Source organism: Homo sapiens, chromosome 19, assembly GCF_000001405.40.
Source record: "Homo sapiens chromosome 19, GRCh38.p14 Primary Assembly".
Lineage (NCBI taxonomy): Eukaryota > Metazoa > Chordata > Mammalia > Primates > Hominidae > Homo > Homo sapiens.
In genome coordinates this window covers 7,496,114-7,513,737 of record NC_000019.10, presented here as the reverse complement: position 1 = coordinate 7,513,737, position 17,624 = coordinate 7,496,114, and the positions used below count along the sequence as shown (strand labels likewise).

Genomic DNA, 17,624 nt, shown 5'->3' with positions numbered 1-17,624 from the left:
ACGACCTGTCTAGATGTATACGGGGCTTTGTAAAAGAGCTTTCCCCCAGAAAACTAGAGTTATGTGGAAGAAAACCAGCGGATTAAATTGTTGCCTGGCCAGGCGCGGTGGCTGACACTTGTAATCCCAGCACTTTGGGAGGCTGAGATGGGCGGCTCACTGAGGTCAGGAGTTTGAGACCATCCTGGCCAACATGGTGAAACCCCATTTCTACTAAAAATACAAAAAGTAGCCGGGCATGGTGGAGGGCACCTGTAATCCTAGCCACTTGGGAGGCTGAGGCAGGAGAATCACTTGAACCCGGGAGGTGGAGATTGCAGTGAGCCGAGATCGTGCCACACTATACTCCAGCCTGGGCAACAGAGCGAGACTCCATCTCAAAAATAAATGAATAATAAATAAATAAATAAATAAATAGTTACTGATTTTTTCATGGAACTCTAACCATGTGTCTCCTAAGGACCAGAATATTGGAATATGGGGAAGCTTTCTTTCTCTTTTAGAGACAGGGTCTCATTGTGTCACCCAGGCTGGAGTGCAGTGGCACAATCATAGCTCACTGCAGCCTTGAACTCCTGGGTTCAAGCCAACCTCCCACCTCAACCTCTTGAGTAGCTGGGACTACAGATGAGTACCTGGGGACTCAGCCTCCTGAGTAGGTGGGACTACAGCCACCATGCCTGGCTATTATTACTATTTTATTTGTAGAGATGGAACCTCACTATGTTGCCCTGGCTGGTCTCAAACTCCTGACTTCAGCGATCCTCCCAACTTGCTGGGACTACAGGTGTGAGCTACCATGCCTGGCCTGGGGCAGCTTTCATGCAATCTTCAGCAAAGTCTTGCAAGAAAGACACAAGTTTCTGGAATGTGTTTCTTCTCAAAGCAGAGAATCATCTGCTTCATCTTGTGAGAACCTCAGAGCTGAATTTTCCGCCCCAGGCTAAAAGACGAGGCAGATGATGAGGTAGAAGATAAGACTGGGATTATGGGAGGACATCTGACACCCTAAACTACTCCCAAACGCTGAACATTCCTTGTCTGCAAAGCTGACAATCACTCTCACTGGGAAGAGCCTATTAGCTGAGCTAATCCACCCTCCAGATTGCAACCTGGGGCAGGACACAGATTTGTCCTTAGGAGACACAGTCAATTAAGGTTGGGCTCCAGCGCCGTGATCCTGGCTGGGTTTGGGGAGTTAAATAACCTAGGGGTGGGTTCCTGAGCTGGGCAAACCAATCACCATATTGTTTTCCTCTGGGCACAGTGATTGGTCCACAACTCGGTGAGTGATTCAAATGGGCCAATCAGCCTGTTCCTTAAATCCCAATATGGGGCCCGGTGTGGTGGCTCATGCTTGTAATCCCGGCACTTTGGGAGGCTGAGGCGGGCGGATCACTTGAGGTCAGGAGTTCAAGACCAGCCTGGCCAACATGGTGAAATCCCGTCTGTAATAAAAAATACAAAAATTAGCCGGGCATGGTGGTGCATGCCTGTAGTCCCAGCTACTTGGGAGGCTGATGCAGGAGAATTGCTTGAACCCAGGAGACGGAGGTTGCAGTGAGCCGAGATTGCATCACTGCACTCCAGCTTGGGTGACAGATGTCTCAAAACAAAAACCAAAATTCGATAGAGGGAGCGTGGTGGAAAGACCCCGCCCTTCTCTGGGGGATCTAATCATAATGATTGGAAAATACTACCAGCATCTTCCTTTGCTGTTGCTTGGAGGGACACAGGACTGAGAGATGGCCAGGGGGACAGAGTCCTGATGCAAAATGCCTGATATTAGACCCAATTCCAGACTCAGACCTTCTTGTTTCTGTGTGTGTGTGTGTGTCTGTGTGTGTGTGTGTGTGTGTGTGTGTGTTATTGTTGAGACAGAAACTTGCTTAGTTGCCAAGGCTGGAGTGGAATGATAATAGCTCACTGCAGACTCAATCTTCTTGGCTCAAACAATCCTCCCACCTCAGCCTCCCAAGTAGCTGAGACTACAGGTGCACACCACCATGCCCAGCTAATTTTCTAAATTATTTTTAGTGGAGATGAGATCTCACTATGTTGCCCAGGCTGGTCTTGAACTTCTGAGTTCAAGTGATCTTCCCGCCCCAGCCTCCCAAAGTGTTGGGATTGCAGGCATGAGCCACCACGTCTGGCCTGTCTTTTTCTAAATCAATAAAATTCCTTTTTTTCCTTGAGCCAGATGGAGCTTGGTTTCTGTCATTTGCAACAAAATGACGTAAGACATTAACACATTTAGTCACCATTCACTGAGCTGCAGCCAAGTGCCAGGCCCTCTTCTGAGCATGGTACATGCACCTCTTATTTAATTCCTGTAACCACTCTATGAAACGGGAACTATTGGCATTCCCATTTTACAGATAAGGAAAGTGAGGGTCAGGGTGTATTTTTGCCTAAGGACAGAAAGGCAGGTCTGAATTCTGCTGCTGGGTGACGCTTACCACTGAGAAAGTTGTTTTCCTTTAAAAATTAATCTTGGTGGGCTGGGCACGGTGGCTCATGCCTGTAATCCCAGCACTTTGGGAGGCCAAGGCGGGCAGATCACGAGGTCAGGAGTTCAAGACCAGCCGAGCAACATGGTGAAACTCCGTCTCTACTAAAAATACAAAGATTAGCCAGGCGCGGTGGTGGGCACCTGTAATCCCAGTTATTTGGGAGGCTGAGGCAGGAGAATTGCTTGAACCCAGGAGGCGGAGGTTGCAGTGAGCTGAGATTGCACCATTGCTTTCCAGGCTGGGTGACAAGAGCAAGACTCTGTTTCGAAAAAAAAAAAAATCTTGGTTTCTCACATTCAATTCTATATTTTTTTGTCTTAATCCCTAGGCTTTTGGGGGAAGGAAGGGAGTGAGTGGAATATAGGAGGGTTAGTCATAAATCCATAAAATACATCCAGAATAATCCTGATGTAGTGTCTTTCCCCAAGGATTAAACATTTCCAGTACAGTTTCTGTTCTTCCCTGGCAAGCCATCCTAGGGCTGGTCATTTTCATTGTCAGAAAGTGCTCCAAGTTGTGCTGAAATCCAGCTCTTTTTTAATTGCTATGGACTGTTTTCATCTAATGCCTAAGGCTGTTTTAAACCATTCCTGGGATGAGGCAGGAAGATAATCCTGCAACTACAGCTACATGGAACTTAAGACCAAATAAACATTCTGAGCTTCCCAGAAGGCAAGGCAAAAAGGGAAAGCCTTTCTGTTCTAGTAGTCTGGTCACTAGGCAGACCAGCTTCATCAGAAGAGGATGAGCTTATCGAAGTGGTTTCCAACCAGGGCAGTTCTCTCCCATCTGGAAGATATATGGCAATATTTGGGACATTTTGTTACAAGTGGGAGGGAGAGGTTCTACTGGCATTTAGTGGGTAGAGGACAAGGATGGCACTAAATATCCTACAATGCACAGGAGAGCCTCCAATAAAGAATGATCTGATCTAAGACACCGATAAATGATAAGCCCTGGTTTATCCTGAAGTAACTCAGAAGAGCATGATGCCAAATATCTTTAGAGGACATATTCACAGCTGGCAGATTCTTGCATGGTCGAGGTGGATACCATGTGTGGCCAAAAGGGTCATCTTGTCCCTACAGGATGCAAAGCTGGATTCCCTCCTGCCTTTCCTGCAGAAATGACAACCTGGCCTAGAAGAACTGATGCCAACCAGGAAAGGGCTCCTGGGCAGGGTCGAGATTGGCTCAACCTTATGGTTCATTGGATTGGGGTCCTTGGTCTTTGGAGGTTTGATTCTTGGTTCAGGAAAGCCATGTTCACTCCTTGAGACTGGATGTTCAACAGCCCACAGAGGCAGGCCCCGGCATGGTCACTAAAGCCTACCTTACCCGAGACAGACCTTACCCCAGACAGACCTTTCTCCTCACCATGCCCTGGACCTTAAAGGTCAGGCGCTGTCCAAGGTACTGGTCCTTGCTAAGCCCTGTCACTCACTTGCTGCAGAGCCCCATCACATCCTCCTCCTTTTGACCCTTTACATTTTGTCCCTGGCTGAACACTTACCCCCCTGGACCTCATAATATCTTGATGGCTTTTGTCAATTTGCCCCTGGACTCTGCTCTGACCTGGGGACCAGTTGCCCAGACAACCAGTGCCCCATTCGGTCTCTAGTCTCTGTCCATGATGGAAAAAACTGCTGGGTTATTCTCAGCTGTGTCCACTCTTCCATGTCCTCTATGGGCCACATCCAGTGTCCCCACCATTGAAAGCTTTTTCCCCACACCCTGGCCTTCCCCATTCTCATCCTCAGAAGGGAAGCTTCCCCTCCACGACCCCAGCCCCATGCACTGAAAAGTGTGTACATTTCTCATGTATAACAGTCTCATGGGAGAATTGCTACTTATCCCCATTTCATAGATGAGCAAATTGAGGCTCATAGGGGTTAAGTGACTTGCCCAAACTACCACCCAGGACGTGGAGGAGTCCGAGTTTGGATTATGCCCATCCAGCACCCCCACCCTTCCCCGGCCCCAGGGATCTGTGTTCTGAAGTACGCACGCCAGTATCTCTGTTCAGCACTATAACTTTATTCTTTTTTTGAGACAGAGTTTTTGCTCTGTTGCCCAGATTGGAGTGCAGTGGTGCAATCATATAGCTCACTGCAGCATTAAATTTCTGGGCTTAAGTGATCCTCCCACCTCAGCCTCCTGAATAACTTGGACTACAAGCACGTACCACCATGCCTGGCTTTCTAAAATTTTTATTTATTTATTTATTTATTTTTTAAGACTTAGTCTCACTCTGCTGCCCAGGCTGGAGCTCAGTGGTGTGATCTCAGCTCACTGCAACCTCCGCCTCCCAGGTTCAAGTGATTCCCGTGCTTCAGCCTCCCGAGTAGCTAGGATTACAGACATGTGCCACCACATCTGGCTAATTTTTGTATTTTAGTAGAGATAGGGTTTCACCATGTTGGCCAGGTTGGTCTCGAACTCCTGATCTCAGGTGATCCGCTCGCCTCGGCCTCCCAAAGTGCTGGGATTACAGGTGTGAGCCACTGCACCTGGCCGATTATCTTTTTTTTTTTGTAGAAACAGGATCTCCCTATGTTGCCCAGGCTGATCTCAAACTCCTGGGCTCAAGCAATCCTCCCATCTCAGTCTCCCAAAGTGCTGGGGTTACAGGTGTGAGCCACCGCGCCCAGCCTTGACTCCATACTCTTCATGGCAACGCAGCAACAGTGGAGTCATCCTTTCCCGTGCAGTCCCTTCCTCCAGCCCCCACCCACCCAAGCATCCTCTGGATGGGCTGACTGATGGGAAAGAGTGGAATGTTGCCAAGATGGCATTTATTGCTGGCTGGGGCACAGGTACATAGGGGGCTGGGGGACCAGAGGGTCTATCTTCTCCCTGCAGCCGCGCTGGTGAGGCGTGCCCAGGGGCACGAAGCCCTCCTGAGGATTTTTCAGTCTCAGGGCTGCTGGGCCCTGGTACTTGAAAGGAAACTCGTCCTTGTATTGTGTTGAGAAGAAGCGCAGTCCACCCAGAGGGGGCTCCATGTGGCTGTACTTGCACTGTGGAGACAGGGTGGACAGCCTGGCAGGGCAGCCTGGGAGGTGGCCGATCCACCCTGTCCACCCCAGGATCTCCAGGCCTGATGAGTCAGGGGGCGGGGCCAGGCAGGGCAGGCTAGCTGGTCGGGGCGGAGCCAGTGTCTGACCAAGGAGGATGGTTAAGACTGGGTAAGAGAGGATAGGGAAAGGGGCGAGGCTATGGCCAGAAGGGTGGAGTTATGCAGGGGCGGGGCTTGGCCACGAAGGGGCGGGATTGTCCAGGGGCGGAGTTGGGGTTCTGGTCAATTTGGGGTGGGATTTAGCCCTTCAGAAGGTGAAGCCTGGGGTAAGGTGGGGCCGCCTAGGGACAGAGCCAGAGCATCAAAGGCTGGGGAGGTTGAACTCTGGGGAGAGGTGGGCAAAAAGGGCCCCAGGCTGGGCTGAATGAGGAGCTGGATAAGAAGATGGAGAGAAACCAGGGGTGTCCCTGGAAGGACTCCAGGGCTGGGGTGATCCTGGGTGGCTCTGAATTAACCCTCGTCTTGGGTATAACAGTGGTGGTGGTGCAAAGATGCCCCTGAGCTGACCTTGACATGACCCTGGGGGGTGAGCTAGAGATGACCTCTATTTTTTTTTTTCCTTTTTTTGAGGCAGAGTCTTGCTCTGTTGCCCAGCCCAGAGTGCAATGGTGCGATCTTGGCTCACTGAAACCTCTGCCTCCCTGGTTCAAGCAATTCTGTCTCAGCCTCCCTAGTAGCTGGGATTACAGGCATGCGCCACCATGCCTGACTAATTTTTGTATTTTTAGTAGAGACGGGGTTTCACCATGTTGGCCAGGCTGGTCTCGAACTCCTGACTTCAGGTGATCCGCCTGCTTCGGCCTCCCAAAGCGCTGGGATTACAAGCGTGAACCACTGCACCCGGCCAAGCTAGGGATGATCTTCAGGCTGAAGGGATATTAAGATGCCCCCGAGCCTGGGTGATCACTAACTCTGAGACAGGGTGACAGCATAGTCGTCCTGAGATAACTCTACACCAATGTGGGGGTTGCCTAATGATGGGTGGCTCCCCTCCGCCTCCCTTACCCGCTGTAGCATCTCTTCAGTCACCGGGGCCGGAGGTGTTCTGTGTGGCTTCAGCATCTTCTGGTTCATGGTTAAAAAATCGAATTCTGGAGATTCAGGTTGGGGAGGCTGAGTGAGGGCTGTGGGCCGAGGCGGGGCTGAGGGTGTGGTGAAGTTCAAGGGAAGGGTTCAAGAGCCAAGCCCAGGCCAGCGCTGAAGTTGACCAGGGGAGAAAAATGGATTAGGAGAGGGGGGAGGGAGGAGCCAAAGAAGGAGGGAGAAGCCAGAGGAAGGGGGAGGAGCTGGGAAAGAGGGAGGAGCTGGGAAAGAGGTAGGCGCTGGGGAAGAGGGAGGAGGTGGGGGAGGAGGAAGGAGCCAGGGGAGGAGAGAGGAGCTGGGGAAGAGGGAGGAACTGGGAAAGAGGGAGGAGCTGGGACAAAGGAAGGAGCCAGAGAAAGGGGGAGGAGCTTGGGAAGAGGGAGGAGCTGGAGGAGGACGGAGGAGCTAGGGGAGGAACCCAGAGCTAGGGCATAGGGCTAAGAAGGTCAGGGGCGGGGCCGGGCCAGATGAGTCTGTGGGCAGGGCCAGGCAGGGCAGGCTAGCGGGTCAGGGGCGGAGCCAGAGTCTGACAATGGAAGAGGAGTTAAGACTGGATAAGAGAGGATGGAGAAGGGGCAGGGCCGTGTCCAGAAGGATGGAGTTATGAAGGGGAGAGGCATGGCCATGAAGGGGCGGGATTATCCAGGAGCAGAGTTGGGGTTCTGGTCAATTGGGGGTGGGATTTAGCCTTTCAGGGGATGAAGCCGGGGGAGGGGAGGGCTGGTTAGGGGCGGGGCCAGAGCAGTGGCAAGGGCGAGGCTTCCAGGGCTGGGCTTCCCGGGACGGGGCTCCGTGGGGGCGGGGCTCCATGGGGAGGGGCTCCATGGGGGCGGGGCTTTCGGGGGTGGGGCTTCCCGGGGCGGGGCTCCATGGGGCGGGGCTTCCCGGGAGCGCTCACCGCCCGTGCCCCGCGGCAGGTAGCTTTGCTGCAAGTGGAGGTTGGGCGCTTTCTGCACCTGTCTCCACTCTGAAGGGCAGTAGTCCGAGCCCATGGTGGTCTTGAAGAAGCGTTTGAGTAGCTTTGGCTCCCCTAGGGTCACATGACTCTGCAATTTCTCATGAGGCACGTGGCGGCTGGGTGGCTGGGTCGGGGGTGGCGGCTGTAGGACCACATGGCATTTGAAAGCTCCGGCGTCCGAGAGGTCCCCGGGCCCGGGGGGGAGGGAGGAGGTGGGCTCTGTGTGACCTTGGACAGCTCCCTCACCCCTTCTGGGCCCCACCTGGTAGCACTGGGAGTTGGTACTCTTATCTCATTTTACAGAAGGAGCCACGGAGGAGGATCGGAGTGGTTAAGTGACTCGCCCTAGATCACTCAAGTACATCCAGGAGATTCCTGCATACATATCAAGCTCACTCCCACTTTGGGACTTCTGCACCTGCTATTTGCTCTGTCTGGGAAGCCCTTTTCCCTGCCGCCTTTTCGCTCTTCCTGCTCACCTGGCCGTAGAAGTACTGCATGAAGGTGTCCAGACTGCCGGGGCCGGGGCACCAATTTCCTTTCAGGATGTGCGACTCCGGAGTCTGATCGTGGTGAAGAACAAAAGGCTCTGCCAGAAGCGGAACAGGTGCAGAGCTGCCCTGGGAGGCTGCGGTGGGAGGCGGGACGGGGCGGGCCTCAGGCTCTCACCTGGCTCCCTGGCATAGAAGTGCTCGGCCTTGGTGGTCCTGTCGCGGAAGAGGCCGTCACCAGGACGGATATTTACACAGTGGATGTGGGCTGTGGCCTGGGCCTTGTCATACCTGTACGTAGTGTATTATTCCATCAAGAATAAGGTAAAGTGGGCTGGGCATGGTGGCCCACCCCTGTAATCTCAGCACTTTGGGAGGCTGAGGTGGGTGGATCACCTGAGGTCAGGCTTTTGAGAACAGATTGGCAAAAATGGTGAAACCCCATCTCTACTAAAAATACAAAATTAGCCGGGCATGGTGGCACATGCCTGTAATTCCAGCTACTCGGTAGGCTGAGGCAGGAGAATTGCTTGAACCCGGGAGGCGGAGGTTGCAGTGAGCTGAGATTGTGCCACTGCACTCAAGCCTGGGCAACAGAGCGAGACTACGTCTCAAAAAAAAAAAAAGAAAAAAAAAAAGAAGAAGAAGAAGCTAAAGTGGATCCATCTGGGGCCTTGCAACCCCCAGAAAGAGGGAGGGGAGCAGGGTTTCCTAATGACCAAGCTGTGGGGCTCTGATAATGAGAGATCTGGCACAATAGTGCACCTTGGCTACCAGTGACAGAGACCTCAGAGGCAGAGTATGGGCCCTAAAGCCCTAAGGGGCAAATACCACATGCTACTGAAAGCCAGTTGTCCCATCTGGGTGGGAAGGCAGTGCCCCCTCGTCCCCCACTTTTTTTTTTTTTTTGAGATGGAGTCTTGCTCTGTCGAACAGGCTGGAGTGCAGTGGTGCAATCTTGGCTCACTGCAGCCTCCGCCTCCCGGGTTCAGGCGATTCTCCTGCCTCAGCCTCCGGAGTAACTGGGATTACAGGCGCCCACCACCACACCCGGCTAATTGTTGTATTTTTAGTAGAGACAGGGTTTCACCATATTGGCCAGGCTGGTCTCGAGCTCCTGACCTCATGATCTGTCTGCCTCAGCCTCCCAAAGTGCTGGGATTACAGGCATGAGCCACCGTGCCCGCAGTGGCCCCTTTATACCTATCTTCAGGCAGATCCTGGGGCCTGTAGGCCTGTTTCTGCTCCGAACACGTTGATCCATAGCTGATCTTGCAGTCTCCCAGCTCCACTCCGGAGGAGGCCTGTGGGCAGACAGGGATAGGAAGGCCCAAACCACCCAGCCCCCAATTCTGCCCCCGCCTGCAGCCCCAACACAGCCTCAATTTACCCTCTTACACCTCAAGGCAGGTGGGCCTGGCAGGGCCTGGAACTGTCTTTGGTAGGAAGTCCCATCTTGTCTCGTGTAGTCCCACTTGAGGGTGTTGGGGCCCCCTTAGGATAGGCAAGGGGGATGGGGGGAGAGAGAGAGAGATTGAGATTCCCTGCCATCTCAAGCCCTCTGGAAGGAATTCTATTTCTTGCCTGGGAAGGGGAGCTGGGCCATTCTGAACAGTGTAGACTGAGAGCTGTCTGGCAAACACCAAAAGATAAAAATAAAAATAAAATAAATTATACTAAAAGCCAGGTGCAATGGCCCATGCCTGTAATCCCAGCTATTCAGGTGGCTGAAGTGCAAAGATGGGCTTGAGCCCATCTTGAGCTGGAGACCAGCTTGGGCAACATAGTAAGACCCTCATCTCTAAAAAATAATGATAAATTTAAAAATACAGCCAGGTGTGGTGGCTCATGCCTGTAATCCCAGCACTTTGAGAGGCCAAGGCAGGTGGATCACCTGAGGTCAGGAGTTCAAGACCAGCCTGATCAATACGGTGAAACCCCATCCCTACCAAAAATATAAAAATTAGCCGGGTGTGTTGGCATGTGCCTGTAGTCCCAGCTACTCAGGAGACTGAGACAGGAGAATAATTTGAACTTGGGAGGTGGAGGTTGCAGTGAGCCGAGATCGTGCCACTGCACTCCAGCCTGGGCCACAGAGTGAGATTCTGTCTCAAAAACACACACACACAATAAAACAAAAAAACCCCAATAATATCTACCAAGGACTATATTGAGCCACACATAGGTTAAGTGCATTGCATCTTTTTCCAGGACTGAGTATCTCTCTCTCCGTCTCTCTTTTATTTTGGAGATGGAGTCTCGCTCTGTGGCCCATGCTGGAGTGCAGTGGCACAATCTTGACTCACTGCAACCTGCTCCTCCCAGGTTCAAGCGATTCTCCTGCCTCAGCCTCCCAAGTAGCTAGCTGGGATTACAGGAACGCACCACCAGGTCAGGCTGAATTTTGTATTTTTAGTAGAGATGTGGTTTCACCACATTGGCCAGGCTGGTCTCCAACTCCTGGCCGCAAGTGATCCGCCTGCCTCAGCCTCCCAAAGTGCTGGGATCACAGGCATGAGCCATTGCACCCGGCCGCAACTTCTTCTTGGACCTGGTATCATTTCTCTTGTTACAGCCTCCTTGAGGCTCAGAGAGGTTAAGCAACTTGCCAGAAATCACAGAAACTAGGAATCACAACTAAATGTCAAATCAGGGTTTGACAATCCCTGAGCCCATCTTAGGGGCCTCTGACCAGTAATGTTCACCCAAAGGGTCCCTGGAGTCACAGAATTGGAAAATTACACGAATGCTGGCTACTCTTTGTTAAGTGCTCTCTGCACCAGACACACCATACACATTCAGCTTTACTAGCTCCTGTGAATTGGGCCCTGTGATTGCACCCATTTTGTAGACGGGGAAACTGAGGCTTGGAGAGGTTAACTCCCTCAGACTCACACAGCTACTAAGGTGGTAAGGCTGGGGGGTGTGGGGAGGAGGGTGTACAGCTGGGGAACTTAGCTGATTTGTCTGACCCCAAACTGGCATTCATGACTTCTGCCAACCATGCACCACTCTGGACAGATTCAGAGGATATGTCCACCCTCCTGATGCTGAAACTGATGCTCAAGGTGGTTCCAGGGTTTCTGAGGCTTGGTGTAATTGACATTTGGGGCTGGCTGGGAGGATACTTGGCAGCATCTCTGGCCTCTACCCGCTGTCTGCTGGTAGCACCTCTGCCCATCTTTTTAAATTTTTATTTTGTAAGGGCTGGGCTCAGTGGCTCATGCCTATAATCCCAGCACTTTGGGAGGTCGAGGCAGATGGATTGCTTGAGCCCAGGAGTTCAAGACCTGCCAGGGCAACATAGTAAGACTGCATCTCTACAAATAAGTACAAAAAATTAGCTGGGCCTGGTGACATGCGTGTCTGCAGTCCCAGCTGCCTGGGAGGCTGAGGTGGGAGGATCACTTGAGCTGGGCAGATTTAGTCTGTGTGAGCCGAGATCATGCCACTGCACTCCAGCCTGGGTGACAGAGACACTTTCTCAAAAAAATATATACACATATATATATAATAAAAAAATAATAAAATTTTTATTTTGTAGAGATGGGTCTCGCTATGTTGCCCAGGCTGGTCTCCAATTCTGGCCTCAAGACATCCTCCTGCCTAGGCCTCCCAAAGCACTGGGATTACAGGCGTGAGCCACCGCGGGTGGCCTCGCCACCCCCCAAGTCTTCCTCCCTCCCTCCCTCCCTTCCTCTCTGTCTTGTTTTCCTTCCTTCCTTCTTCCTTCCTTCCTCTCTCTCTCTCTCTCTTTCTTCTTTCTCTTCTTCCTTTCTTTCTTTCCTTTTTTTGAGACGGAGCCTTGCTCTGTCTCCCAGGTTGGAATGCGGTGGCACAATCTCAGCTCACCACAACCTCTGCCCCCTGGGTTCAAGCGATTCTCCTGCCTCAGCCTCTCAAGTAGCTGGGATTACAGGCACCCTTCACCGCGCCCTACTAATTTTTGTATTTTAGTAGAGGCGGGGTTCCTCCATATTGGCCAGGCTGGTCTCGAACTCTTGACCTCAAGCGATCCCCCCGCCTCCAACTCCCAAAGTGCTGAGGTTACAGGCTTGAGCCACCGCGCCCGGCCACCCCCCAAGTCCTGACCACCAAAAGCGTTTCCAGACATTGCCAAATGTTCCCTGGGGGAAGGGGAATGAAGAGCCCTTGCCCCTGTTTGAGAACCACAATGTGAAGCAAATCGCCCACTCAGCCCGGGCGCGCGCTCACCGAGGTGGCAACTGGGCGCGCGAGGCTGCGGGCGCGCGTCGTGGGGTGGAAAGAGCGCCTGGTGCGTGGTGGGCGGGATGCGCAACTTGTCGCGGTCGCCAGGAGGCAGGGAGTCGCGGTCGAAGATGAGGCGCGCGCCGCGGATCCGCTCTCGGGTGCGCGCCGGCAGCTCGGGCCAGCCGTAGGCGGCGTGCGCGTTGGAGAGGCCGATCCCGGCGTGCGCGTCCTCGTGCAGGTGCAGGTTGCCGGCCTGCATGGCGAGCGTGCGTTCCCGCGCCTGCGCTTGCAGCAGCTCCCACGGCGGCGTGGATGGCGGCGGGAACGCGCGGTGCGCCTCCGACACGCGCTCTTCCCGGTCCCAGCGCGGGTCCATTGGGAAAAGCAGCGCGGGCGGCGGCTGCAGGCTCGGCGGCTCCCGGGTGGCAGCCGGGTAGGCAAAGTCCCGGTGCGACGTGGTGCGCATGGTGCCCTCGTGCAGCCGCAGGTCAGGCCCCAGCGAGAAGTGCGAGGCCTTGAGGAAGTCCAGCCGGGACATCGGGCACGGGCGCGAGCACGGCAGGAGGGCGCCTGTGGCCATCGCGGGACACCAGCCACCTGCGAGAGGGTGGAGATGAGGGACTGAGCAAGTGCCCATTGGGGCACTTGCCTTTGACTCCTGCTTTTGACTCCTTTCTGCTGCCTTTGACTCCTTTCTGTTCGCCAAGCACTGAGCTGGAGGCTGGGGACATCACGGGAAACTGGTACAGCTTCTGTGCCTTCCCCCAGCGAGAGCAGAGACAGAAATAATCATGGCTGGGCGCGGGGGCTCACGCCTGTAATCTCAGCACTTTGGGAGGCCGAGGCCGGTGGATCACCTGAGGTCAGGAGTTCGAGACCAGCCTGGCCAACGTGGTGAAACCCTGTCTGTACTAAAAATAATTTTTAAAAAAAATTAGCCTGGAGTGGTGGTGGGCGCCCGTAGTCCCAGCTACTCGGGAGGCTGAGGCAGGAGAATCGCTTGAACCCGGGAGGCAGAGGTTGCAGTGAGCCGAGATTGTGCCATTGCACTCCAGCCTGGACGACAGAGCGAGACTCCGTCTCAAAACATAAAAAAAAATCTTTCATGTGGTGCCTACTGTAGGCCTGGCACACAGTAGGCACCACATAAATGATTTCTGTCCCTACTCTAGGCCTGGAGGCCAGCAGGGGTGGGGAACTAACATTAGTTCACAAAATAGACCTAGATCCCTGCCTTTGTGGAATTGATAATGGGGCGGGAGATGACAGACAATAATAAAAAATATAACAACAAAAATTGAAGAGTAGGTTAGAAGGTAATAGCTGGGTACTGTGACTCACACCTGTATCCAGGCACAGTGAGAGGTCAGAGCAAGAGGACTGCTTGAGCCCGGGAGTTCAGGACCAGCCTGGGCAATATAGTGGGACCCCGTCTCCACACACACACACACACACACACACACACACACAAATTAGACAAGTGTGGTGGGCTCAACCTCTTGGGCTCAAACGGTCCTCTCACCTCAGTCTTCTGAGCATCTGGGACTATAGGTGTGCACCACCATGCATGGCTAATTCTTTCTATTTTTTTTTTTAGAGACAGGGGTCTGGCTATGTTGCTCAGGCTGGTCTCAAACTCCTGGGCTCAAGCAACCCTTCTGCCTCAGCCTCCCAAAGTGCTGGGATTACAGGTGTTAGCCACCATGCCTGGCCAAGGGTAGGTTTTAACCACTGCTTCACAAAAGACATTGAGGCTCAGGGAGGTGGTCATTTGCTTGAGATTTGAACCCAGGGCGACTCTGATTCTAGAACTTGGAGAATTAACCACTGCATTCTACTGTATGTCTGATACAAGAACCGCGTCTTCTCACCCTCAGTCAGTTGTCAAGGCCACGGTTTTCTCCTTCTTCCCCTCTGGGGGACCCATTTTTGTTCCTCTGCCTAACTCCAGCCCTGCACCCCAGCCACTGGCCATCTCCGTTTCTGCCACACTTTTTCTCCCTTCTCTCCCCCTCCCCCGCCCCTCCCCCCTCCCCTCCGCTCCTTTCACTTCCCTACCTTCTCTCTCTTTCTTTCTTTCCTTTTCTTTTTGTGACAGAGTCTCACTCTGTCCCCCAGGCTGGAGTACAGTGGCACGATCTCAGCTCACTGCAACCTCCACCTCCTGGATTCAACTGACTCTCCTGCCTCAGCCTCCCAAGTAGCTGGGATAACAGGTACCTGCCACCATGCCCGTCTAAGTTTTGTATTTTTGGTAGAGACGGGGTTTCACCACATTGGTCAGGCTGGTCTCGAACTCCTGACCTCAAGTGATCTGTCTGCCTTGGCCTCCCAAAGTGCTGGGATGACAGGTGTGAGCCACTGTGCCCGGCCTGCCACGCACTTTCTTACTGGTTTTCCCCTGCTCTGCAGTTGTCCTAGGTCCTGCCTATTCTCAATCTCTTCCTGTCTTCACACCTTCTGAGAGTTAGCTCTCTCCTCTGACCTTCAGCTTCAGACTCCAAGCCTCCCCTGACCCTCCGCCTCTGCTCAGTCACCTGGGACTTTCTTGCCTTTGCTTAGATCACAAGTGTCTCCCATGCTCTCCTCTCTGTCTCCCTTGGAGACCAGCATTCCAAGTTCTCAGGCTCACCTCTTGCAGGAAGACCTCCCAGATCACTTCAACCCACAAAACCTGCTTACCTCTACCTATTTAGAAAACATGGATCAGACGGGTGCAGTGGCTCAGGCCTATAATCCCAGCACTTTGGGAGGCCGAGGTGGGCAGATCTCCTGAGGTCGGAGTTCAAGACCAGCCTGACCAACATGGAGAAACCCCATCTCTACTAAAAATACAAAATTAGTCAGGCGTGGTGGCGCATGCCTGTAATCCCAGCTACTCCAGAGGCTGAGGCAGGAGAATAGCTTGAACCCAGGAGGCAGAAGTCGTGGTGAGCCAAGATTGCGCCATTGCACTCCAGCCTGGGCAACAAGAGCGAAACTCTGTCTCAAAAAAAAAAAAAAAAAAAAGAAAAAAATACAAAAATTAGCTGGGCATGGTAGTATGCACCTGTCATCCCAGCTACTCAGAAGGCTGAGGCGGGAGAACCGCTTGAACCTGGGTGGCAGAGGTTGCAGTGATCCGAGACCACGCTACCGCACTCCAGCCTGGGTGACAGAGCGAAACCCCATCACAAAAATAGAAAGAAAACATGGATGAAGGGTGTGTGTGTGTGTGTGTGTGTGTGTGTGTATGTGTGTGTGTGTGTTTTAATGAAACCACAGTTTTTCAGTGTGTAAGTTTGTTGCTTTTTTTTTTTTCTCAGCTCACTGCAACCTCTTCCTCCTGGATTCAAGCGATTCTCCCACCTCAGCCTCCAGAGTAGCTGGGACTGTAGGTGTCCGCCACCACGCCCGGCCAATTTTTGTATTTTTAGTAGAGACGGGGTTTCGCCATGTTGGCCAGCCTGGTCTCGAACTCCTAGCCTCAGGTGATCCACCCTCCTCGGCCTCCCAAAATGCTGGGATTACAGGCATGAGCCACCGCGCCTGGCTGAGTTTGCTGCTTTTTGAATCATTTGCCCCCTGCAATAGTTGAGAGTTGAATATGACCTCCAAAATGGGTCATCAGAGAATCCAACAACTGAGACTACTAGCCAGGTAATCTTGGAATAAGTCATTAAGCTCCCATGAGCCTCAGTTTTCACCTCTGTACATCAGGGACGAGGACAGTGCACCTACCTCAAGGGATGGCGTGTGAATCAATGAGTTTTAGAAAATTCACTTAGCTACAGACCAGATCTTTGGGTCTCCCTCTGTCCCTGGTCTCTCAGAGGATCCTCATGTTCCTTCCCAGGCTGCATCCAAGGGTGGTCCAGCCCTGCGCATTGTGACCCCAAGAGCTTCCTTTGTGTAATGATACTGTCACAATGACCACTCAGCACCTCTAGGGGCAGCCGGGAGGAAAATTAGCAGGCAGGCTTGGTGCGAATACTGCCTCCTTAGAGCTCCAGGAACCCAGGCAAGTAATTGACTTTTTGGAGCCTCTGGGGTTTTGTTCGGTTGGTTTTGTTTTTGAGGTAAGCTCTCGCTATGTTGCCCAGGCTGGACTTGAAGTCCTGGGCTCAAGCGATCCTCTCGCCTCAGCCTCCCAAGTGGGTGGGTCCACAGGTGTGTGCCACCATGCCTGGCTAGGACTTAGGTTTTGTCATCTGCAAAAGGGGACTAATGATGGTAGCCAGTTCAGAAAGCAGTGTCAGTATTGAGGATTTGATTAAATAGGCTGCTGGTGTCCATTATTATTATCATCCTCTAAAGTTTTTCTGTCCCTCTACCTTCTACACACCCCACACAGAATGGACCCACTTCCCTGAATCACTGCACCTCTTGATATTATTCTAGGGCTCACAGATCTCCCTTTAAAGGGGCCGGTCACCCCTCCTTCCCCAGTCAAAGACCACCAGGAATGTACCTGTGATTGAACACATTCAAGCTTATTATTCATCAGAGAGAGAGAGAGAAAGAAAGAGAGAGGGAGAGAGAGCTCATACATGTCATAGGGCACTATGGCGGTCTCAGTAGGGAGGTGTTAGAAAGAACTTTTTTTCGCTATTTATTTATTTATTTATTTATTTGAGATGGAGTTTCGCTCTTGTTGCCCAGGCTGGGGTGCAGTGGCACGATCTCAGCTCATCGCAACCTCCGGCTTCAAGTGATTCTCCTGCCTCAGGCTCCCGAGTAGCTGGGATTATAGGCATGTGCCACCACACCCAGCTAATTTTGTATTTTTAGTAGAGATGGGGTTTTTCCATGTTGGTCAGGCTGGTTTCGAATTGCCGACCTCGGGTGATCCGCTCGCTTCAGTCTCCCGAAGTGCTGGGATTATAGGCGTGAGCCACCACGCCCGGCCAGAAAGCACTTATTATGGGATTTGCAATTCTGCTCGGTGTTTTGGGGGCACAGCTTAAGGAAGTAGGGGATTTGGGTGGGATGAATTTATTGGTTGGAAATTTTACTTTCTTTTTTGAGATGAGCAGATAAAAACAAATAAAAACAACACACAGGTGAGGCATGGTGGCTCACATTTGTAATCTCAGCCTCCCAAAGTAGCGTCCAGAAAAGGGCTGTTGTGGCTTGGTGTGGTGGCTCACGCCTGTAATCCCAGCACTTTGGGAGGCCAAGGTGGGTGGATCACTTGAGGTCAGGAGTTTGAGACCAGCCTGGCGAACACGGTGAAACCCTGTCTCTACTGAAAATACAAAAATTAGCCGGGCGTGGTGGCTCACGCCTGTAATCCCCGCTACTCAGGAG

The 17,624-nt window shown here is 52.6% G+C and overlaps 1 protein-coding gene across 1 annotated transcript, besides 2 other annotated features; it reads right to left on the bottom strand.

Moving 5' to 3' along the window:
• Positions 1 to 5,287: 5,287 nt before the first annotated feature.
• SAXO5 (stabilizer of axonemal microtubules 5) lies at positions 5,288 to 16,190 on the bottom strand. The gene is made up of 9 exons (NM_198534.3): positions 16,056 to 16,190; positions 12,339 to 12,932; positions 9,514 to 9,617; positions 9,327 to 9,427; positions 8,302 to 8,414; positions 8,112 to 8,221; positions 7,573 to 7,774; positions 6,597 to 6,682; positions 5,288 to 5,532 (listed from the first exon to the last, which is right to left on the bottom strand). Exons 2-9 carry the CDS (start codon positions 12,913 to 12,915, stop codon positions 5,308 to 5,310), a joined length of 1,518 nt encoding a protein of 505 aa, NP_940936.2. The 5' UTR covers positions 12,916 to 12,932; positions 16,056 to 16,190; the 3' UTR covers positions 5,288 to 5,307.
• Positions 5,501 to 5,795: an enhancer, noted in NCBI's record as "tiled region #11228; K562 Activating DNase unmatched - State 8:EnhW, and HepG2 Activating DNase matched - State 9:DNaseU". NCBI's record gives its function as "activates a minimal TATA promoter and a strong SV40 promoter by Sharpr-MPRA in K562 cells, with weaker activity in HepG2 cells {active_cell/tissue: K562 | HepG2}" and the evidence as "EXISTENCE:reporter gene assay evidence [ECO:0000049][PMID:27701403]".
• Positions 7,108 to 7,187: a silencer, noted in NCBI's record as "silent region_9984". NCBI's record gives its function as "represses an Ori minimal core promoter by ATAC-STARR-seq in GM12878 lymphoblastoid cells {active_cell/tissue: GM12878}" and the evidence as "EXISTENCE:reporter gene assay evidence [ECO:0000049][PMID:35858748]".
• Positions 16,191 to 17,624: the final 1,434 nt, after the last annotated feature.

What these genes read in the sequence shown, in the direction of transcription:
- SAXO5 (NM_198534.3), bottom strand. Translation starts at nt 12,915, where the DNA reads ATGGCCACAGGCGCCCTCCTGCCGTGCTCGCGCCCGTGCCCGATGTCC. An exon ending in CAGGATCTGCCTGAAGATAG is followed by an intron (nt 8,415 to 9,326) that starts GTATAAAGGGGC and finishes CACTACGTACAG; the next exon opens with GTATGACAAGGCCCAGGCCA. An exon ending in CCTGCCGCGGGGCACGGGCG is followed by an intron (nt 6,683 to 7,572) that starts GTGAGCGCTCCC and finishes CTGAATCTCCAG; the next exon opens with AATTCGATTTTTTAACCATG.